Here is a 24127-nt window from a genome sequence, read left to right as displayed (position 1 = left end):
TTTGGATTTTTGCCACTTCTCTCTTTTATTTCTTTTTTGTTGTTGTTTATTTATTTATTTATTTATTGGGCTGGGGTATTTATTTATTTATTGAGCCTGCTGTATTGCCCAGGCTGGAGTGTAATGGCATGGTCCAATCCTAGCTCACTGTAGCTTACACCTCCCAAGCTTGAACCATCTTCCCACCTCAGCCTTTCAAGCAGCTGGGACTATAGGTGCATGCCACCACACCCAGCTAATTTTTTAAATTTTGTATATAGAGAAGGTCTCCCTGTGATGCCCAGGCTGGCTCAAGCGATCCTCCCGCCTCAGCTTCTCAAAGTGTTGGGATTACAGGTGTGAGTCACCGAGCCAAGCCCAGCCCTTATTTCTCCATGTTCACTGCCAATAAAAGTGTGTTCAGAAACACTTCACAGTATCTTCCAATTATAGTGTTGTGCCCTGGGATTAAAAAGTGGATATGCCTATTTTAAATTTGGGAATATTGGTGAGTCAACTTGGTCAACAAAACTGAGAAAAAAGGTGGAGATTACAATGAAAGTCTCCACCATGAGAGAATTGTCATAGAGTGCCACCACTCTCCTTTCACTTGGGAGGTCATTCCTTACAAGAGGAGAGGTTTCACCCTTGGACACCAGCCTTAGACCCATGACAGGTGAGCTGCAGTCCAACGCTGCCACTGAGTTATATATAATCTGCCCAGCCCACAATAGTTAAGTGAGGTTTATTAAACTTTTCTATTATCAGATTCTAAAATGCTATATGTTAATTTGTTTAAAATCCTCCGGGTAAATTCCCTACCCCAGAAATATAGGTCACTGTAGTATGGATTGAGAAGTACTTGGCACAGAGTAGGAAATTAATCAATGTTATTTCCTTCATCCTCTCACCCTCTTCTAACACAGAATAGTAGCAGAAGAAGCAGTTACTAGATATGTGATGTTTTGAATAACCTTGTCTCCAGAGTTAGGGCAAGTGAAAGACTCCCATGCCTTCTCTACACCTTTGTGACCGCAGGAAGAGGTACAGGAAGATCAGGGATGGTTGGGTCAAGGCTCACAGTGAAGGGGGAAAGAAAGGGGCTCAGTTTAATCATCAGGAACTCAAGCATTGCTGAACATTCCTGCTAGGGACACAAGAAAAAAATAAGATTTGGCTGCCACCCTTAAGGAATGTATTTTCTAATTGGGAAAGCAAAGACCAACATGAGGAAGGTGTCTAAAAATACAAGGTGGTATATGCTGCATGTCAAATAGGACAGACATTAAGCTCACTCTAGAGAGAAAGAAAATCCAGCCCAAGCTGGGGTGCTTAGAGAAGGCTACATGGAGGATGGGGGTTAATCCTGGTGATTAGCAGGGGAATGACACTGTTTACTGGGAGAGGTTCTGGGAAAGCTCTAGGACTTTGGAATGGAGAAAAGACATGGGTATATGCCAAAGCCAGAGCTATATTTTATAGTAGTTTGAGATACAATTCAAGTTAGCTTCTGGGACTTTGTAAACTGCACTCGGTTGGCTGAAGGGGTTTGGGAGGTGGGAAGGGGTGTCAGTTACATGCACACCCAAGATCCTTTAGATGCTCCATTTGCCTGCCACATTTTTTGTTATGCTCCCTAGATTGCTGGGGCATCTATATCTGGCTGGCAAAAAAAAAAAAAAAAATATAACAAAAACCTTGTCCATGTGCAATCCACGTGGCTTTTCCTTCAGACCACAGCAAGGAAGTTTGAGATTCACATGACAGCAAAGATTTCATTCCTAAAGGAAAGGAGAGTGAAGGAAAAATTCTCTTCCCCCATCTCCCCACTCTCTGCCTGTCAAGATCACTTTAAAACGCATCACTCTCCCAGCTCATCAAGCCCACCCCCAGCTGCCTGTCTTCTGTCTCCGTAATCTCTCCTCTGCACTGAAAGCTGCCCCTTTTTGTGTGTCTCTTACCGACAACTGCTTATCCTCTGCAGAGCTTTTACCAGGGAGCCGCTCTGTAAGCAATCAGCCTCTTATCTCCATCATTCACTCCGGTCACCTCTTAATGTTCACAAGTTCCCCAAATGGGAAGTAATTGACCTCTAAACAAAACAAAAAAGCTCTCAGAGAGATAGCAGAGGTTCCTTTCCTGACTGTCCCAGGGCTAGGGGTCTCACCTAGGCCAGGTGGATAAGTCAATAAAGTTGCAGACTTCCTGGCTCCCTGTCTTTCCTTTCCCATCCCAGCCCCACTCCAAGCCAGCTCCATCCTGATACCATCTGCAAGTTAGATGGAGTCTAATTCTAGATCACAGACTTGCCAGATTTCTGGTATTTATTTTTCATAATGTTGTCATTATTATGATAAATGAAATCATTATTATGATTTGAGGAAGGCATATTTAAATCTTTTAAAATTCCATTTGAAAAGTGTTTACAACCCTCAATGTTTCTGCCAGCTCTTTATTATTTTATTGGCTCGCCAACTGGCCCTTTTTCTTTTTCACAAAACGAGGGAATTCTCAGGCTTAAAAGCTGTGCTCCTCCCTTCCCTTCCCTTCCCCTAATGAAGAGTCCAGAGACATAGAGGAGGTAGAGGAACCTGAGTTTGGAGTCCTTTCATTCTAGTCCCAGTTCCACTAAGAACATGCTCTGTGACCTTGAGTAAGCCTCCTAACCTCTCTGGACTTCATTCTCTGCACCTATACAATTGAGGAGATGGATCTCTGAGGCTACTATGCTAATTTGGGGTGGCTCCCTATTGATTTCAGATGCCTTTAATTTTTTAAGATTATGAGATAGATCATAGACCCAGAAGACTACATAAAACATATGTACAGTTTAAAGAATACCTGTAAAGTGAGCACAGATGGAAGTCCCACTCAAAGCAAGAAACATGGGATGCCAGCTCCCTAGCAGCCCTTCTTCCCACACCCCTCCTAGAATGCCAACCCTTTCCCCCTCCTCCTCTCAAAGAGGTACCAGCTACTGTGACTTCTCTTTAATAGTAATAAATAATGAACAGGCTTCTCTTTATGGATTTACCAGTCTTCTCTTTTTGTATTTACCCATATGGACACATCTCTTAACAAATGTGGTTTAATTTTGCTGGATTTTGAATGTTCTATATGTAGAATCATACTACATATATCCTTTTTCCTTTTTCCTTTTTTTTTATTTGAGACAGGATCTCACTCTGGTTGGAGTACAGTGGTATAATCATAGCTCACTACAGCCTTGAACTCCTGGGCTCAAGAGATCTTCCTGCCTCAGTCTCCCAGGTACCTGGGACTACAGGCACACACCACTGCACCTGACTAATTTTTGAAAAATTAAATTTTTTTTTAGAGACAGAGACTGGCTATATCGCCCAGGCTGATCTGGAACTCCTGGCATCAAGCGATCCTCCTGCCTCAGCCTCCCAAAGTGCTGGGATTACAGGCAGGAGTGACTGCACCCAGCTGTGTATGTATTCTTTCATGACTTGCTTCTTTTATTTAATTTGATGTTTGTGAGATTTGTTCATGCTGTTGTGTACAGCTTCTGTTAGCTCCTTTTCATTGCTACTCTGCGTTCCATTAAATGCCTATACCTCAATGTATGTATTTATTGAAAATGTAGGGAGTTTCCAGATGCAGATAGTAACAGATTTCTGTTAGTGGTACCCTGTCTCACAGGTACAGCTGGATTCCATAGCTGGAATATGTCCTGGGCTGTCGTGCACTTTTGTGACTTGCTGGCAAGCATCCATCCTCTGATAGATTTATATTTTATATAACGAATAACAGCCTTGCATTGGCATATCCTTTGAACTATGGTATGATTTTATTCTGTACTTACCATCCATACAAGGCAGAATATATTACTACTCCCATCCAGAGTCAGAGTCTAAGGGTCAGAAAGGTGACAGCAACACTGTGAGTTAGTGATGGAACTGGGAATAGACCCTGGGCTCCCTGTCCTTTCACCCCTCGGTTCCTTCCACTGAATACTCCACAAGGCATTCTTGTCTTCATACAAATCACGGGACTATTGAGTGACACTTTCTTTCTGTGCTGAGTGAAAAATGCATGAGAGGTAGGAGGCCTTTGGAAAGCATGAAGAGGGGAGAGCTATGAAGCAAGATGCCAGAAAGGGTGGGGAGGGAAGGGAGAGATACAACTGCATCTTCCGATGCCTGTGGGTAAACAACGTGCGAAGACCCTGGCTTCTGCATTCCCCTTGCCTGGTTCAGTCCACATTTTCCTCTGTGCCTTGAAGCCCTGAGGACACTGATTCAAGCTTTTAAATGGCCAGCTCTTCAGAGTGGGGAGCATTCCCCTGACTGTTTCTCCTCCTCAGTTCCACCTCCCCCCACAGTGGGGAGAGGGCTTCCTGGGAAGTCCATCTGCCTTCCTCCCTGACCCTCTGTTTAGACTGTCTAGCAACCCCCACACAATCCAAACGAAAGATGTGGTCTTAGTGACATAGTCCAGATTCCACTGTAAGAAAAGCAAAGATATGCCCAGCAGCCCTGAGCACAAACCTCAGAGTGCTTTGGACTCTCTCCCTGTGGGACGGTCCTTGTAAGCTGGCCTCAGTTAAGTCTGCCTCCTTCCCATTAATGCGACAGTGACTCCTGCTTACTCCCATCGCCAGTCCAGTTTAAATGCCTGAAATTTGAGGGCGCAGGATTGAAATCCTAAGTGAGGACTTCAGTGGTCCAAAGGGGATCTTTTCCTTGCACAGCTCCCGTATCCAGGCCATCGCAGAGCCCTCTGGTGTCTCGCCTGGACATTCCTGGTAGAGAGCCTGTCTTAATGCCCCAGTTGGGTCAGGTGCCTCCGGCATGAGATCCTGGAGTACCCCCGATGTCTCCACGACAATTCAGTGACTCTCCATATTTGTTGTCCTTTTTAAACAATCAGTTGTTTGTTCTTTTTAAGCAGTCAATCTGCCCTATGTATTTCCAGCTTGCCCTGTGCCCAGCATAGTGGAGGGGCCCCATACCATTTGTTGATTGATCAAATGAGTGAATGGCTGCTAGTTGGCCTTTTTGTATGAACTCACAAAGTCTTCATTAAACATTCAGGCTCTTAGCTGGCTCCTGAGCAGTCAGATCCTCTGGAAGAAATCCCTTCTCTGTGCGGATAGGGACCCAGCTCTTGGCAGGGATTGTCTGACCGCTGATAACAAGGACCCTAAGAATTTCTGTCAGCCAGGATTTATGGCTATGGAGAAAAAGGAAGTTCTTTGTTTCCTTCTTCCAACCATTCTTCTGTAGATCAACTTAACTTTAATTAGCAAGTATAACAAAAAAAGCACTGTGGGTGAATATAAGATCAGTATCATTAAAAAATATTTACAAGAGAACTATTACTTAGGGCAAAGTACTCTTCTATGCACTGAGAAGAGGGAGCATAGACAGCAAGAGAGACCCATGGATGCAAAGAACGTTTAGTGCTATTCTCAAGAAGATTATAAACTGGAAGGTGAAACATCACCTCTACAGCTAATTATACCACATGGAAAACTAGAAGAGGTGCATTATAAACATCGCATGGGAGCACACGGAAGGGAACTATTTATTCTGACTGTGGTCAATCATTCATTCAATTAATTGAATATCTGCATTATGATTCCTGTCCAAAAGATGCTTATGATGAGAGGCAACCTGGCTGTCATCCAATGTCCATTTTCCCTCTTTCCTCTTTAGTAATTGAACCCCAGAGTTTTAGTTAAGCACACAGTCTCCCAGCTAAGGATTATATTTCCCTGATTCTTTCTGCAGTGAGGGGTAGCCAAATAATTACGTCCTAGCCAAAAGGATGTAAGCAGATGTGAGGGGGGCACTCTCCACGACACAGGCTCCACTTTCCTTCTCTTCCTGCTGCTGGCTGGAATACAGATGAAATGGTGAGAGCAGTAGCAGCTATGTTAGATTATAAGAGAGCAACAAGATAGAAGAAGGCTAGGTCCCCAGGTTACTATCTCCCACCTGACCATGCGCAATTTCTCCTAACTGGCATCCCTGGATGCCAAGCCATTCCTTTTTCTCTCCAAGCCACTCCTCATGCTTCTACAGGATTTTTTAAAAGTTATGTTTCCTGATGAAAAGACTTTCAAATGTAGTCTGCATTCTTCAACCAGACACACAAGTTTCAATAATCTTTCTCTTCCCTACATTTCCAGTCTCATTCCCTGCCAAATTGTTCTGCATGTTTTCTGCTTGCAGTCAGCAAACCTCTGGCTCTCCAAAACACATAAGGCATGTCTTCTTCTTTTGGTCTTTCATGCCCAGTTCAATGCCACCCCTAAGGAAGTCCTCTGAGTTGCCCAGTCAAGGACTCTGGTCAGGGTGCTCCGAGCTGTCACAGCTCATGGTTTGTTCCCTGTTGTAGCACATAGTTCACCCTTGGATTGCAGTTGGCTGTTTCCCTAATTGCTCTCTAGTAAAACCATAAGCCACTTAATTGAAGAAATCAGTTTTAGCCAATTTTCTTTATGTATATACATTTTTATTGAAGTATAGCATATGTAGAGAAAATTGTATAAATAATAAATGTATAGCCAGATAAAATTTAATAAAGTGAACTTCCCATATAATCAGCACCCAGATCATGAAACAGAACATTAATATCCTCCCCCACAGAAACTCTCTTGTACTCTTTTTATGGTCAGCACCGCCCAAAGGAAACTACTATCTTGACTTTTAACAACATACATTAATTTTGCCTGTTTTTGAAAAAGGCAAAAGTAAACATAAGTTGAATCATATGGTTTATACTCTTTTTGTCTGGTTTCCTTTGCTTAACATGATGTGTGTGAGTTTCATCCATGTTGCTGCGGGTGGCTACAGTTCATTCACTCTTATTGCTGTTTGGTTTTCATTGTTTGATTACGCCACAATGGATGTATCTATTCCATGATGGATGGGCATTTGGGCTGTTGCCAATTTGGAGCTATTCTTATTAGTGCTGCTATGAACATTTTTTTTTTTGAGACAGAGTTTCACTCTTATCGCCCAGGCTGGAGTGCAGTGGCACCATCTCGGCTCACCGCAACCTCCACCTCCTGGGTTCAAGCGATTCTGCTGCCTCAGCCTCCCGAGTAGCTGGGATTACAGGCATGAACCACCACCCCCGGCTATTTTTTTATTTTTAGTGGATACGGGGCTTCTCCATGTTGGTCAGGCCAGTCTCAAACTCCCGACCTCAGGTGATCTGCCCACCTTGGCCTCCCAAAGTGCTGGGATTGCAGGCGTGAGCCACGGCACCTGGCCAAATATTCTTGTGCATGTCTTCTGGTGAACATATGAGCACATTTCTGATGGGTATATACTAGGTGTGGAAATTCTGAGTCATGGGATAGGCATATGGCCAGATTTAGTAGATCTATTTATCCAGAGGAGTTGTGTTAGTTTATATTCCCACTTGGAGTGTCTGAAAACTCTGGCTGCTCCACATTCTCACCACCCCTAGTCAGCTGTCTATTCACCTCTCCCTTCTTGCACTTCCTTGCCCAGAACAAGGCAATACAGACAGTGAGAGTATCATGAATGTTTGTATAACGGTATATAGTTGAGTCAAACCATTGGAGGAGGAGAGGAGGTAAAAATAATGAATGTTCAAACCCATACCGAGTGCTGAGTTCTTGACATGCTTCATAGTATTTAATCACCATAATCACTCTCTACATTCTAAAATCCAGTGAAGCCCAATAAACTCCCAAATTAGGAAACTAAACACCAGAAGTATTAGGGAACTTATGCAGAATCACCATCACTAAAGGTAGAGGTAGAAGCTGAGCCTCCAAAGTCCACTTGCTTTCCATTAATATTCTGTTGCCTTCTGGCATTCATTACACTTTGCTGCTTCTATTCTTTAACTACTTAAACATACAGCTATATTTGCTAATGATTCAGCACCCAGCATCTGCCTTCTGATTGTGGTGTTTTTTTGATCCTGCTATTTTCATCCCAGCCTCAGAGGGAGTGACTCGGAGGGAAAGTGTCTGGCCCAAAAAGCACCTTCAGATGTTTCAGAAGGCTAAGATCTCAGCGATGCCCATGGGGATCTGATCTCTATCCAGGGATGTCTGCATTCAGAATCTACAAACGAGTCATTACATATGAGTGTTGCATATAACTTCAAGAACATCTGTGCTAGAGGTAACACCTGTGGAACAACCAGCAGCCATTGCTTGCAGAACTTAAACTGCCCACCAGGGGACACCATTGCCTCCAGTTTCCCACTGCGGGAAAGAGGAAATTCCCCCCAAACTCCTTGGGACTCCACTCCAAGCCTTTGTATTTGACTTTGAGCAATGATTCAGGTTTCTTTTTTCAGGTCAAGCCCTTTACCTTCCTATTTGGATGTTGACAGTTGGGGATGAACTGGAGACATTGAATCAATAGATTAAGGGCTCCAGGGATAGCTGCTGTTGGCAATGGTTTTTCAGTGTGGCAAATATTAATGATAAAATTGGTGATGCTGGTGGCTATGAGATCAGTGGGATGCTTTACAATGCATTAATGTCCTCATCTCACTGCAACCTCTGCTTCCCAGACTCAAGCAACCCTCCCACTTCAGCCTCCCTGCCACACACATCCCCCTTCTCCCAGTAGCTGGGACCACAGGCATGCAGCACCACGCCTGGCTAATTTTTTTGTACTTTTGGTAGAGATGAGGTTTCACCATGTTGCCCAGGCTTAACTGCTGGCTTTGAAGGGAGAGTATCTGAATGAGATTTTTTTTTAAGTCCTTTACATTTCCATTGCCATGTCATAGAAGTAAAACACTGGAAAGGGGCTTTGACTGTGCCTGTGACATTGTGTTTCTTTTTTTTAAAGTACATGAGATAAATCAAATTATAGCAATTACCTCCACTTTTTTAAGTGTTTAAAACATGTTAGCGTAAAAAAAAATCCTATTTTTTAGGAGATCGAATTAAAACTGACCTACACATTGAGAGACATAGGTCGAAGTTCTGACTTGGTCACTGACATGTAATTTTTGGTGAGTCATTTAGATTATCTGAACCTCAGTTTCTCCACTAATACAATGATACCTAAGGCCTTTATCATGCAATTCTGTGGATGTTTAAATGGGAATGCTGCAATGTCTCCTGTTCCTGGACATTCTCCTCTTTCTGCCATTCCCTGCTTCCATGCCTTCCAGCTTGTTCCCTATCTCCTTCTTTCCTCCCCCAGCCCCTTGAGAGGGGAAGGGAGCCTGAATAAATATATGAATGGATGAAAGGCTCTGTCCATGCCCAAAGCATTTCAGGCATCAGGGCGCTGCTGCAGGGTGGTCTCGGGCATCTGTCCTTCCTTCCCCACATGCCTGAGGTGGCCATTTCCCTTATGAGCTGTGAAAACACCAGGAGGGTCTTGCCTGCCTCCCTTCCTGGGAGCAACAGGGATGGGACTTGCCTCAGGCCAAATAGGAACTCCCGGCTGAGCAAATTCCTCCCCACCCAGTGGTCCACCGTTGTGCTTTTCCAAATAATTTTCAGGAAAATGTCCATCAGAGGAGCCGCAGTCAGAAGTCCAGGGAAAAAGCCGTTTGCTTTGTAAGGCAGCCTCTCCAGTCCCCCAGGTCCTGTCCACTCTCAAGGATCAGTAGAATCTTCTGGAGAGCCAAGCAGAAGCCTAGCCTACAGCCCCTCACCACAGGGATCTGCACCCACCCCGTGCCTGGAAATGGGCTCCATCACCTTCTCAGATGATCATCCACCTGGGAAGGCATCATGTTGGGGCGCCAGGAGGCTACAAGAACCTGTTTCACTTTATGGTGGGCACTATGCGGCAGGGAGTGGCAGAGGGAGGGTCTCAAATTGCTCTGGCAGGCAGCTCAGGGTGGGAAGGTCAGAGCCTCCTCCCTTAGACAAACAACACCCTATGTATCTCCCAGGCGAGGGTCTTCGTTAAGCTGTTGAACAGGCTGGGAAGGACCAAGGCCACCCAGTGAGAGGGCAGGGAAACTTCTGCAGACTCAGCCCTGCAGCCTGGGGCTCTCCAGAAGCCGGCAGCCATGGAGGGGTGAGGAAAGGTGACCAGGGCACTGTTAGCAAAATACTCTTGGATTCCTATTGCCCAGTAAATCCCCCCTGGTGATCCCTTGGGCCATAGCATTGATAAGGGGTGTAATGAGGTTGAGCTATTATCTGCTGCAAACGTTTCCCAAACCTTCATGCCTTGGCCTTACAGAAAGGCCTGCAGGGAGAGCTTGCACACACAGTTACAGAGTGGCAAGGTCAGATATTTTTTAAGCGTTCTGGGATGCAAGGGAAGAGGACTTTTGGCAGGTATGAGATAGGAAGCATGAATGGGTATGAGCAAGAGATAAAGAGCACAGAAACTCATGAGGTCTGGAGTTCCCAAGAGGAACGATGGAGACCATTGCATGAACCTACAGTGGCCTCTGCCTCCTCCTCATAAAGCCCCCCTCCCTCCCTGGCTGAGCCACTCAGAGCCCTCAGCTCTCACTACTCAAGAGAGAGAGGGTTTGCTGGACCAGTAGCACAGGCATCACTTGAGAGTTTTTCAGAAGCACAATCTTAGGGTCCTCCCAGATCTACCGAAGCAGAATCTACTTTTTTTTTTTTTTTTTTTTGCTGGAGTGCAGAGACGTGATTGCACTGCAACCTCTGCCTCCCAGGCTCAAGCGATCCTACCCTCTCAGCCTCCTGAGTAGCTGAGACTACAGGCATATGCCACCACGCCCAGCTAATTTTTTGTGTTTTTTGTAGAGATGGAGTATCGCCATGTTGCCCAGGCTGATCTCAAGCGATCCACCTGCCTCAGCCTCCTAAAGTGCTGAGATTACAGGTGTGAGACATCACGACTGGCCTCAGAATCTACATTTTAACAAGATCTTCAATGTGTGTAAGCGCTGCCCCAGCAGTTGGTCTCTTTACCCTCCCCTCTTGTGCCAGGTCTCTCATAACCTGCAGCTCTGCCCTCTGCCAACCACCAGCTGGAAAATAAAGGTCAGACTAATTCATGCCACTGTGTAAATGGTGGAGAATCACTTAATGTGCCGCCAAACTCACATCACATTTTCATATTAACACATGACAATAATCTTAACCAAATGCCACAGGGAAAAATGTAGGGCCCAGAGCAAGACCAGTGGGGAGGGGCTGCTGGGGAACTACTTAGGAAAGGAAGTGGCCTGAGGGCAGTGTCATTTGCCTCTGGTTCCATTCTTCAATGGCCCTGCTATTGGGCTCCCTTGGGAAAAGAAAAAGAGAAGTAAGCCAGGAAATAGGGTCAACTAAGCTAGGAATTTTGGAGAAGCCGTGGACGACCGCTGCAACCCTCGGGAAGTCGTCCACAGTCCTGGCTGCCTTCCTCATTCTATGAAACTGATGCATACTTTCTCTTTTCCCAGTGTCAACCCAAACAATGAAACCCAGGCTGTCAAAAAGACTGATCTGTTCTCAAAGCCATTTCCAAACAGCCAGGTTGACAGGTGTTTATGGAACACCTGCTATTTGCCCAGTGCATGGGGTCACGGGGAAGGCATGGGCTTTGAAGCCAGGACAACCTGGGTTAACAGTGAGAACCTGGGCATGTTACCTTCATGTCTGAGCTTCCTTCTCTGCACAAAACAGTCCCCAGTGGGTTGAAGTGCTTATCGAATGTCTATGGTGAGCCATAGACTCACTGTGGTGAGCCTAGAGTGAGCATTCAACAGGTGTCAGTCTTCTCTCCCCTGTCCTGGTGTGGGGCAGGAAGAGAAGCTGAAACACAACCCTAGGCCTCAATAAGGTTTACAAGAAAACTGGTGCTATGGTTTGAATGTGTCCCCTCCAAAGTTCAGGCATTGAAATTTCATGGCCAAGGTGATGGTATTAAGAGATGGGGCTTTAAGAGGTGATTAGGTCATGAGGGCTCCTCCCTCATGAATAGGATTAAGGCTCTTATGAAAGTGGCTTTACAAAGGGTTCAGCCTCTTGCCATGTGAGGACACAGCGTTCCTCCCCTCTGGAGCCTTCAACATAAGGAACCACCTTGGAAGCAGAGAGCAGCCCTCACCAGACAACCGAACCTGCTGGCACCTTCATCTTGGACTTCACAGCCTCCAGAACTGTGAGAAAATAAATGTCTGCTCTTGATCAATTACCTAGTCTATGGTATTTTGTTACAGCAGCACAAACAGACTGAGACAACTGGTGAGCATCAAAAGATTAAATACTCTAAAGCAATATAAGATTATGTGCCCAAATGAGCCACAGAGCCATCAATGAAGGCTGGAGAGGGCTACAAAGCCTTTTGGGTGGAAATTGAACCAGTGAATATAAACAAGAGACAGGAAATGTACATGCAGCTTGCAAAAAGGCCTAGGACTGATAGAACTGAGCATAACACGAGTGGGAACAGTGACAAACCAGTCGGGAGAGGCAGGGGAGAATGTCAATAAGGAAGGGGAGGGAGGACAGGGAAGCTGAGGATTGTGACTAACTATCCAATCCTAAATCTGTGTAGCTGTCTGCTCGCCTAACCCATTCCTTTCCATTAAAACCACCATAAAGTCCCCTCTATGTCCCAACTGACCCTGGTGTTTCCCTGAGTGGCCCTGCAGTCTGTGCCCCTGCTTCTAGGGTATATGAGTATAAACCTTTCTTCCAGGCTGGGTGCGGTGGCTTATGCCTGTAATCTCAGCACTTAGGGAGGCCAAGGCAGACAGACGGATTATTTGAGGTCGGGAGTTGGAGACCAGCCTGGCCAGCATGGGGAACTAAAAATACAAAAAAATTAGCTAGGTGGGGTGGCATGTGCCTGTAATCTCAGCTACTCAGGAGGCTGAGGCAGGAGAATCACTTGAACCTGGGAGGTGAAGGTTGCAGTGAGCCAAGATTGCTCCATTGCACTCCAGACTGGGCAACAAGAGTAAAGCTCTGTCTCAAAATAAATAAATAAATAAATAACACCTTCTTCCTTCATGAGAGTCACTTCTGGGTCTGTGTGTCTTACCATACCTGACTACAACAAACCCCAGATACATTTTCAAACACACATATAGGGGCCAATTCTATGGGCTCTGGTTGTACTTCCTACCCTGGAGGGTAGCAGTGGAGGCAGGTGGGGTGGGTGGAAGGATGGAGGGTGATGCAGTGGAGACATCCACGGGCCTAGAGGTTTAGGGACTCAACTTTGTTATAGTTCTTGTCATCTCTGTAAACTTAAGGCTCCTTCCTAGAAAAGCAAGACATTTTCTTAGATAATCCTGAGGTCCCTCCTAGCTCTTAGATGGTTTCTAAAACATGTAATAGAGCAATGTTAAAATGTTTATGTGTAATATGAATTTGGGAGGAAAAAAGGATACAAAATTATATTTATCTTACCATTGAAGATGGCCAAAGACCGGAAGAAAATACAGACACACACACAGACACACACACACACACACACACACACACACACACACACACAAACAGTTTTAATGAAGGGATGGGATCATGGGTCTAAAGAGATATTTATAACTTAAAAGGAAAAAAGGATCCAAAGTTCACATCTGCAGTCAAGTTCAAGCTGGTAGGGCCTCCTTCATCACTGCTGCTCTTTTACTAGTGCCCCTATATTAGTTTCTTAGTGCTGCTGTGGCAAATTACCATAAAGTTAGTGGCTTAAAACAATGCACATTTATTATGCTATGGTTCTGGAGATCAGAAGCCCACACTGGCTTATTGGGCTAATATCAAGGTGTCATCAGGGTTGTGTTCCTTCTGGTGGCTCTAGGAGAGAATCCACTTCTTTTCTTTCCCTGCTGCCTGCATCAGTTGGCTCCTGGCCTCCTTGCACCCTCAAAGCCAGCAAGGGCCAGTTGAGTCTTTCCCACAGTTGACTCTTTCTAGCCTTGCTTCAGTTGTCATATCTTGTCTGACTCTGATTCTCTGGCCTCATACTTGTACTGATAAAGACCCCTGTGACACAACAGGCCCATTTGGATAATCCAGAATAACCTTCCCATCTCAGGATCAGCGGACCAGCAAACCTAATTCCATCTGCAGCATTAACTTTCGCTGTCTATTTACATAGCATATTCACAGAATCTGGGGACTAGGGGTTGGTCATCGCTGGAAGGGGGCATTGTTCTGGGCTGCAGCCCCTGAGTGTCTCCAGATTGCCTTGCACATTTTCACCCGGTTTAAACTGCATAAACACAGCAAGGGGAGGAGGACGAGCCTTCCACTGTGATTTGCCTGGGGGTCCTTTGGCCCCTTATGGATAATTCCGCTAGCCAGTGAGATGTGTCATAACAACTGGAGCTGGACATTGAGCCAGCAAGCACTTATGGAGCGCCTTCTGTATGCCGAGAACTAAGCCAGACTTTAGAGATGGTACAAATATGAGGAGGATACAGTCCCTTCTCAGGGAGCTCATAGTCTCATAAAGAAGATGAGCCATCCACACCCCCAAATACAAAGCACAAGGGGAGAAAAGATGCAGTGAGGTGAGGCCGAGGACCACGAGCTGTGGCCCCACTCACAGGCCTGAGGAGGACGCGGTGGAGGAGGGCAGTCCAGGCTCAGCTCCAACTTGATATTTTTCATTTTTTAAAATTATCAATGAGTACAAGGAAATACACCCTGTTCCACTATCCTCCTGTCCCTCTCCCAACCTACTGTCTCCATCTCACTGAGCAGAGGTAACTACTCTATGGAAAAAAAGAATACATATGTATAAATCTTGTTCCTGATATATTCTGTATGTTAAAGTGTTCAAATGAAAAACATTATATAGGTAACTTATAGTGCTGTTTTATACAATGGGTTTCATCTATAACATGCTTTGCAGCTTGAACCAGTCTCTGACCAAATTGAAGATATGTTCCCAAGTCAATACATTGTGTATTTGTGCACTTCTAGGGCACATTGCCAAACACAGAATAGCTGTGTCAAAGGATATGCTCAGTTTTAATTTTGACAAATATTCCCAAGTTGTCATCCAAAAACAGTCATGCATCCTTAGGGACAAGAATATGTTCTGAGAGATGCAATGTTAGGCAATTTCATTGCTGTGCAAACATCATAGAGCTACTTACACAAACTTAGATGGATGTAGTCTACTACACACCTAGGCTACATGGTATGCCCTATTGCTCCTAGGCTACAGACATGTACAGCATGTTACTGTACTGAATACTGTAAGCAAAGGTAATACAATGGTAAGAATTTGTGCATGTAAACATATCTAAACATAAAAAGGTACAGTAAAAATACAGTATCATAACCTTATGGAACCACCGTCATATATGCTGTCTGTCACTGATCAAACGTCACGATGCAGTGCATGGCTGTATGAGAGCAGCTGTTCCTCCACACTCTCACTTACACTGGACATTATCCATTTTTTTTAACCTTTGTCAATCTGAAAGGTGGAAAAGGCTCGTCTCAATGTGATTTTGATTTGCATTCCTTCACTGATGAAGTGTAGTTAAAATATTTTTTTCACGTGCTCGTTTGTGTTTTACATCTTTGAGCTGTCTGGAATTTATTTTGTCATAAGAATAGGACTTTATCTTTTCCAAATGGCAGCACTTGTTATTAAATAATTCATACCCAACTCTCAATTTTAGAAATAAAAGGAGGCCATCTCAATCTAAACCTCACACTATATACAAAAATTAATTCTGAAGGAATCATGGATTGAAGAGTAAAGCATAAAACTTTTAGAAGATAACATAGGAGCAAATCTTCAGTATTAGGACTAAACAAAGAGTTCTTAGGCAGGACATCAAAATCACATTCTGTAAAATTCAAAAATTCATAAATTGATCTTCAATGAAATTAAAATCTTTTGTTCTGTTGAAGATCCTGTTAGAGGGATGGAAACACAAGCTACAGACTGGGAGATAATATTTGCAAATAACCTACCAAACAAAGACTTACAAACAGCAATATATAAAGAACTATCATAACTCAATGGTTAAAAAATAAAAGAAAGAAAAATTCAATTATAATATGAGCAAAAGGCTTGAACAGATATTTCACCAAAGAGGAAATATGGATGGCAAACAAGCACATGACAAGGTATTCAACATCTCTAGGCATTTGTGAAATGCAAATTAAAAATTTAAACCACAATAAGGCCCAGCACAGTGGCTCACACCTGTAGTCTCAGCACTTTGGGTGGTGGAGGCGGAAGGATTGTTTGAGCCCAGGGCTTTGAGACCAGCCTGGGCAACAGGGTGAAACCTTATCTTTACAAAAACTACAAAAATTAACTGGGCAGGGTGGCACACACCTGTAGTCCCAGCTATTCAGGAGGCTGAGGTGGGAGAATCTCCTGAGCCCAGGAGGTTGAAGTTGCAGTGAGCCATGATCTCTCCACTGCACTCCAGCCTGGGCAACAGAGCAAGACCCTATCTCTAAATAAATAAATAAATGACGTCTGTAGTCTAGTTAACTGTAATGTCCCAACGTAAATTTCCTGTTTTCTACATTGTCCTACAGTTGTATAGATGTCTTTGGAGGACACTGGAGGTATTATTTTTGCAACTTCCTGTGAATCTACAATGATTCAAAAGAAAACATTAAAGAATGTTCTAATATAAAGAGACTTTGAAAAGATGAGAGAAGAAAACCAGCTTTGCCAAAGTCTTTCCCGTTGCACAGGTAGTTTTCTTTGGCGGTCGCTTTATCAGCAATAACCTATTAACTTTCCTTCCTCCAGAGACACATGACATACCATCCTTTTGAAAAGTTGCCAGTTGAATAGAAGCCGTCTTAGACCAGGACAGACAAAAAAGTTGCATTAAAAAAATGGTTCTAAAAAACATCAGCCTACCCTTTTTCCAGATTACCAACTGTTACCATTTAACCCATCGGCTTTATGGCGTGGGATCTATCAATCTGCATCCTTGTTTCAGAACCATTTGATGTAAGTTTCATAAATCTTGTGCCTTTGCTCCTACTTACTTCAGTGTTTATTTCCTAAAAATATTCTCTTGTACACTGACAGTACAATGTGCAATTTCAGTAAATTTAACATTAATTCAATACTTCCATCATCGACCTGACACTGAGACTCATGCCTGTAGTCCTGGCACTTTGAGAGGCCAAGGCAGGAGGATCACTTGAATCCAGGAAATCGAGGCTGCAGTGAGTTATGATGGCATCACTGCACTCCAGCCTGGGCGGCAGAGGGAGACCCTGTCCGTAAAAAAAAGAAGAGAAAAGACAAGGAAAGAAAATACTTCCATCATCTCTGTTCCACTTTCGTCTGTTGTCACGGTACCGTCCAGTCCAGTCACAGTACCGGTTGGACCAATCTGGCTAACCCATTGTTTAGCCAATGGGTTACATGTTAACAGTTGGTAATCTGCAAAAAGAGTATGCTGATGTTCTTTTGAACTACTTTTTTAAATGCAGTTTTTGCATTTGTCCTGGCCTAAAACGCCTTCCATCCGTCTGGAAACTTTTCAAAAGGATGGTATGTCATGTGTCTGGGGAGGAAGGAAAGTTAACAGGTTATTGCGGATAAAGGAACCACCAAAGAAAACCACTTCTGCAACGGGAAAAGGCTTTGGCAAAGGTGTTTTCCTTCTTTCAGCCTGGGGTCTGGCTGCACCTACTTGTCATGCCTCTTTGAGGTCGTAGATATTGCAGATCTGAGTTTGCACCATCTCTCCCAGAGAGAGAGAGCACCCAGAACTCTCACGGTACCGCGCGGCTGCAGTGACTGCGTGCTCATCCCCTGTAATTGGCTCTGACGGTCCTGAAGAGCTAACTGGACTGTTTGTCTTGATCGTCCCATCCCCAGGAGCTTCTCTCTGTTGCGGGTGGGTTGGGGCAGAGGAGCCCCGCTTTGGGGTGCGCTCCTGGCCTGGGAAAACGGCTCAGGGCGGAGGGAGGAGAGCTGGAGAAGGAGAGGAAATTGGGGAAGGAGAGGGAATTGGGGAAGGAGAGGGAACTGGGGAAGGAATCCCCTAGGGAGGAGCGGAGCGGGGCAGTGCTCAGGGCTCGCAGATCGGCGGGGTCACCTGGGGCTCAGGGCGGCCAATCCGCGGCGCGGCCCGTCCCGCGGCCAATGGGAGGGCGGCGCGGCCCGCTCCCCTGGGCTATAAGCGAGCCGGGAGGCGGAAAGTGAAAGCGGTGCGGGCCGGGCGGGTGCATTCAGGCCAAGGCGGGGCCGCCGGGATGCTCAGGGTTCCGGAGCCGCGGCCCGGGGAGGCGAAAGCGGAGGGGGCCGCGCCGCCGACCCCGTCCAAGCCGCTCACGTCCTTCCTCATCCAGGACATCCTGCGGGACGGCGCGCAGCGGCAAGGCGGCCGCACGAGCAGCCAGAGACAGCGCGACCCGGAGCCGGAGCCAGAGCCAGAGCCAGAGGGAGGACGCAGCCGCGCCGGGGCGCAGAACGACCAGCTGAGCACCGGGCCCCGCGCCGCGCCGGAGGAGGCCGAGACGCTGGCAGAGACCGAGCCAGGTAAGCGGCGAGGCCGGGGAAGGGGGGCAGCCCAAGGCGGACCCCCAGAGCTCGGGGTGCAGGGACGCGGGGCTCCGCGGCGACAGGCAGAGGGACCTTCCCGCCTCCGCAGCCACGCGCGCGCCCCCGGAATGAACCCTGAGCCCCAGCGTCAGGGCGGCGCAGGATTCTGACACCGCAGGACTCGCCCGGCTCCGTGCCCTCCGCTCCCTGGGGCTCAGAAGCCGGCGCGACTGCAGCGCCACCGCCCTCCACCGTCCCAGGAGCGGATCCCGCCCCGCGCCACCCGCGATCGGCGCCAGCCCCCCGGTAGTTATGAGAACTAATAATAACTTATTAACAGTGACAAAGCAGGGGTTGACCAGCAAAGCCTCCGTGTGCTTCCCAATCCCGTGGGCAGTAAAGCGGTATATTCGGGGTTCCCTCCGGTGTCCAGGAGAGAGAGTCCACTTATTTTCTTTCCTGTCACTTCTGATGAGGCGACCGAACGCCTCGTTTAGCGAAGAGGGAATTAAAGCCCAGAATGAGCCTGCCTCTGCGTCTCCAGTGGCACAAGCCCTCTCTTGCCCACCTGGATCCTAACACCGGATGTCTTTTGGTCTGGCCTTCCCGGGTATCTTGTTCCACGGCATTTTCCCTGCCTCCCTCTCCCGCCTCTCCTCAGCACACAGATCCAGAATCCCCATATAATTCTACTAGACAGTAGGGAGAAAGTTCAACCACGAAACGTCTCTAACTTTGGGTTCTTGATGATTCTTAGCAAATGAATGCGTAATAAACATATTTACTCACTCTTCACTCCGGAGAGCTCCTTAGTCATGTGAAAAAAGTGAAATGTATCCACGATGACAGTGGGCTGTTTGTTCACTCACTAAAGAGATAAGGGTGGATTGAATTCTGTTCTCTTCCCTGCTAACATGTAACTTTTGTCTTCCCATCCCTCCTTCCCCACTCTCCTTTCCAGAAAGGCACTTGGGGTCTTATCTGTTGGACTCTGAAAACACTTCAGGCGCCCTTCCAAGGCTTCCCCAAACCCCTAAGCAGCCGCAGAAGCGCTCCCGAGCTGCCTTCTCCCACACTCAGGTGATCGAGTTGGAGAGGAAGTTCAGCCATCAGAAGTACCTGTCGGCCCCTGAACGGGCCCACCTGGCCAAGAACCTCAAGCTCACGGAGACCCAAGTGAAGATATGGTTCCAGAACAGACGCTATAAGACTAAGCGAAAGCAGCTCTCCTCGGAGCTGGGAGACTTGGAGAAGCACTCCTCTTTGCCGGCCCTGAAAGAGGAGGCCTTCTCCCGGGCCTCCCTGGTCTCCGTGTATAACAGCTATCCTTACTACCCATACCTGTACTGCGTGGGCAGCTGGAGCCCAGCTTTTTGGTAATGCCAGCTCAGGTGACAACCATTATGATCAAAAACTGCCTTCCCCAGGGTGTCTCTATGAAAAGCACAAGGGGCCAAGGTCAGGGAGCAAGAGGTGTGCACACCAAAGCTATTGGAGATTTGCGTGGAAATCTCAGATTCTTCACTGGTGAGACAATGAAACAACAGAGACAGTGAAAGTTTTAATACCTAAGTCATTCCTCCAGTGCATACTGTAGGTCATTTTTTTTGCTTCTGGCTACCTGTTTGAAGGGGAGAGAGGGAAAATCAAGTGGTATTTTCCAGCACTTTGTATGATTTTGGATGAGTTGTACACCCAAGGATTCTGTTCTGCAACTCCATCCTCCTGTGTCACTGAATATCAACTCTGAAAGAGCAAACCTAACAGGAGAAAGGACAACCAGGATGAGGATGTCACCAACTGAATTAAACTTAAGTCCAGAAGCCTCCTGTTGGCCTTGGAATATGGCCAAGGCTCTCTCTGTCCCTGTAAAAGAGAGGGGCAAATAGAGAGTCTCCAAGAGAACGCCCTCATGCTCAGCACATATTTGCATGGGAGGGGGAGATGGGTGGGAGGAGATGAAAATATCAGCTTTTCTTATTCCTTTTTATTCCTTTTAAAATGGTATGCCAACTTAAGTATTTACAGGGTGGCCCAAATAGAACAAGATGCACTCGCTGTGATTTTAAGACAAGCTGTATAAACAGAACTCCACTGCAAGAGGGGGGGCCGGGCCAGGAGAATCTCCGCTTGTCCAAGACAGGGGCCTAAGGAGGGTCTCCACACTGCTGCTAGGGGCTGTTGCATTTTTTTATTAGTAGAAAGTGGAAAGGCCTCTTCTCAACTTTTTTCCCTTGGGCTGGAGAATTTAGAATCAGAAGTTTCCTGGAGTTTTCAGGCTATCATATATACTGTATCCTGAAAGGCAACATAATTCTTCCTTCCCTCCTTTTAAAATTTTGTGTTCCTTTTTGCAGCAATTACTCACTAAAGGGCTTCATTTTAGTCCAGATTTTTAGTCTGGCTGCACCTAACTTATGCCTCGCTTATTTAGCCCGAGATCTGGTCTTTTTTTTTTTTTTTTTTTTTTTTTTTCCGTCTCCCCAAAGCTTTATCTGTCTTGACTTTTTAAAAAAGTTTGGGGGCAGATTCTGAATTGGCTAAAAGACATGCATTTTTAAAACTAGCAACTCTTATTTCTTTCCTTTAAAAATACATAGCATTAAATCCCAAATCCTATTTAAAGACCTGACAGCTTGAGAAGGTCACTACTGCATTTATAGGACCTTCTGGTGGTTCTGCTGTTACGTTTGAAGTCTGACAATCCTTGAGAATCTTTGCATGCAGAGGAGGTAAGAGGTATTGGATTTTCACAGAGGAAGAACACAGCGCAGAATGAAGGGCCAGGCTTACTGAGCTGTCCAGTGGAGGGCTCATGGGTGGGACATGGAAAAGAAGGCAGCCTAGGCCCTGGGGAGCCCAGTCCACTGAGCAAGCAAGGGACTGAGTGAGCCTTTTGCAGGAAAAGGCTAAGAAAAAGGAAAACCATTCTAAAACACAACAAGAAACTGTCCAAATGCTTTGGGAACTGTGTTTATTGCCTATAATGGGTCCCCAAAATGGGTAACCTAGACTTCAGAGAGAATGAGCAGAGAGCAAAGGAGAAATCTGGCTGTCCTTCCATTTTCATTCTGTTATCTCAGGTGAGCTGGTAGAGGGGAGACATTAGAAAAAAATGAAACAACAAAACAATTACTAATGAGGTACGCTGAGGCCTGGGAGTCTCTTGACTCCACTACTTAATTCCGTTTAGTGAGAAACCTTTCAATTTTCTTTTATTAGAAGGGCCAGCTTACTGTTGGTGGCAAAATTGCCAACATAAGTTAATAGAAAGTTGGCCAATTTCACCCCATTTTCTGTGGTTTGGGCTCCACATTGCAATGTTCAATGCCACGTGCTGCTGACACCGACCGGAGTACTAGCCAGCACAAAAGGCAGGGTAGCCTGAATTGCTTTCTGCTCTTTACATTTCTTTTAAAATAAGCATTTAGTGCTCAGTCCCTACTGAGTACTCTTTCTCTCCCCTCCTCTGAATTTAATTCTTTCAACTTGCAATTTGCAAGGATTACACATTTCACTGTGATGTATATTGTGTTGCAAAAAAAAAAAAAAAGTGTCTTTGTTTAAAATTACTTGGTTTGTGAATCCATCTTGCTTTTTCCCCATTGGAACTAGTCATTAACCCATCTCTGAACTGGTAGAAAAACATCTGAAGAGCTAGTCTATCAGCATCTGACAGGTGAATTGGATGGTTCTCAGAACCATTTCACCCAGACAGCCTGTTTCTATCCTGTTTAATAAATTAGTTTGGGTTCTCTACATGCATAACAAACCCTGCTCCAATCTGTCACATAAAAGTCTGTGACTTGAAGTTTAGTCAGCACCCCCACCAAACTTTATTTTTCTATGTGTTTTTTGCAACATATGAGTGTTTTGAAAATAAAGTACCCATGTCTTTATTAGATTTATGTGTGTGTGATTTTCAGTTTCCTAAAAACTACATGCTGTGTAACTTAGATATTTCTAATTACCATATCCTCTTGCCCTCGTCCACCTAACACACCAATTGCAACCTATGGTGATCAAAAGCCTCAGCCTACCCAGTAGCTGGTGATGGCCATCCTTTTATAAATGCAACGTCCTTCGTTCCTGTTAAGTCATGGGGGAGGAAGGCCTTTTCTCTCTTCAGTCTAATAATCAACTGTTCACTATTCACAATAGCAACATCATGGGCTGAACCTATGTGTCCATCAACAGATGATTAGATTTTAAAATGTGCATATATACCATGGAATACATACGCAACCATCAAAAATAATGAAATCACATCTTTTGCAGCAATATGGATGGAACTAGAAGCCCTTATCGTAAGTGAAATGACTCAGAGACAGAAAGTCAGAAACTGCATGTTCTCATTTGGAAATGGGAGCTAAACGATGGGTATACAGAGTGGAATAAGAGACACTGGAGGCTCCAAAATGTTGGAGGGTGGTAGGAAAGTGAGGGATGAAAAACGACTGGGTAGAGTGTTCACTATTCGGGCAATGGGTACTAAAATTCCAGGCTTCACTACTGTGCAATAGATCCATGCAACACAACTGCACTTGTATCCCCGATCCTATAAAAATAAAAATAAAAACATTTAAATAATCACCTACTCCAGCCAAGGAATACCTTTTGTTTAAAAAAAAAGATAACCAAGTATTTACTTTACATTTCTTGAAGACCTTAAAGGGAACACAAAGACTACAGCAATCCTTCTTTAAAAGTTCCCCTTTGGCCAGGCACGGTGGCTCACGCCTGTAATCCCAGCATTTGGGAGACCAAGGTGGGCAGATCACCTGAGGTCAGGAGTTCGAGACCAGCCTGGCCAACATGGTGAAACCTTGTCTCTACTAAAAATACAAAAATTAGCTGGGCGTAGTGGCAGACACCTGTAATCCCAGCTACTCCGGAGGCTGAGACAGGAGAATCGCTGGAACCCGAGAGGCGGAGGTTGCAGTCAGCCAAGATCACACCACTGTGCTCCAGCCTGGGTGACAGAGCAAGACTCTGTCTCAAAAAAAAAAAAAAAAAAAAAAAAAAAAAAAAAAAATCCCCTTTTATGTTCCGCTAGCCCTCACACTATAACTTCCCTGGCTCCTGCATCTCGCAAAAAATGTCACCTTCATCCAGAGCTGATAGACCTCTTGCAAGTGACGCCTTTGAACTGGAATCACAAGTATGAAAAATAGGTTTTATTAATGTGTTAAAATAAAACATAAACAACACATCCTTCATCTCCCTGCACTTAAACCTTCATTAAATCCCACAAGAGGAGAATCCCATGCACCTGATTACCTTCAAGAATTGATGGTTTCTTCCTCCCTTCTTCAAGGAAATAGAAGCTTAAAGAGTAAGGTGCTTACTCTAAAGAAAATATATCATAATTTCAAACTTTGCTCTAATCCTTTAAGCACATGTACACACAGGTGAGGCTTTTCTTGGCATGCTCACATCGTAAGATTTACCTCTTTGCACAAATCTGTAACCATTCTCCCCTCCCCTGGAAGGCCATGAGCTCTCAAATTACAAAGACACTTGCAGTCAATTAACAGATGTAGATTTTAACACGGTGAAACCCTGTCTCTACTAAAAATACAAAAAAAAAATAGCCAGGCATGGTGGTGGGCGCCTGTAGTCCCAGCTACTCGAGAGGCTGAGGCTGGAGAATGGCGTGAACCCGAAAGGCAGAGTTTTCAGTGAGCCGAGATCGTGCCACTGCACTCACTCCAGCCTGGGCGACAGAGGGAGACTCCCTC

General features: G+C 45.4%; 1 protein-coding gene and 1 long non-coding RNA gene across 4 annotated transcripts in view, besides 2 other annotated features; one reads left to right on the top strand and one right to left on the bottom strand.

Moving 5' to 3' along the window:
* The window catches only part of LOC107986930 (uncharacterized), a 139865-nt gene that overhangs the window by 101956 nt on the left and 13782 nt on the right, over positions 1-24127 (bottom strand). The window lies entirely within an intron of this gene.
* Positions 17868-18377: a silencer, noted in NCBI's record as "silent region_19030". NCBI's record gives its function as "represses an Ori minimal core promoter by ATAC-STARR-seq in GM12878 lymphoblastoid cells {active_cell/tissue: GM12878}" and the evidence as "EXISTENCE:reporter gene assay evidence [ECO:0000049][PMID:35858748]".
* On the top strand, positions 18049-22294 carry NKX3-1 (NK3 homeobox 1). Of its 3 annotated transcripts, NM_001256339.1 has the most exons (3): positions 18098-18130; positions 18356-18383; positions 19348-22294. In NM_001256339.1, the coding sequence occupies exons 1-3, from the start codon at positions 18098-18100 to the stop codon at positions 19764-19766; spliced, it is 480 nt and encodes a 159-aa protein (NP_001243268.1). In that variant the 3' UTR covers positions 19767-22294. The 3 variants fall into 3 exon arrangements, 2 of the variants coding, with proteins under 2 accessions (NP_006158.2, NP_001243268.1); NR_046072.2 differs by lacking the exons at positions 18098-18130; positions 18356-18383 and adding an exon at positions 18049-18083 and having other exon boundaries at positions 19845-22290; NM_006167.4 differs by having other exon boundaries at positions 18049-18383; positions 19348-22290.
* Positions 18418-18467: a silencer, noted in NCBI's record as "silent region_19029". NCBI's record gives its function as "represses an Ori minimal core promoter by ATAC-STARR-seq in GM12878 lymphoblastoid cells {active_cell/tissue: GM12878}" and the evidence as "EXISTENCE:reporter gene assay evidence [ECO:0000049][PMID:35858748]".

This window comes from Homo sapiens, chromosome 8, assembly GCF_000001405.40.
Source record: "Homo sapiens chromosome 8, GRCh38.p14 Primary Assembly".
NCBI classification, from domain to species: domain Eukaryota; kingdom Metazoa; phylum Chordata; class Mammalia; order Primates; family Hominidae; genus Homo; species Homo sapiens.
Note: the sequence above shows the minus strand (reverse complement) of the source record. Positions and strands in the feature narration are given on the sequence as shown.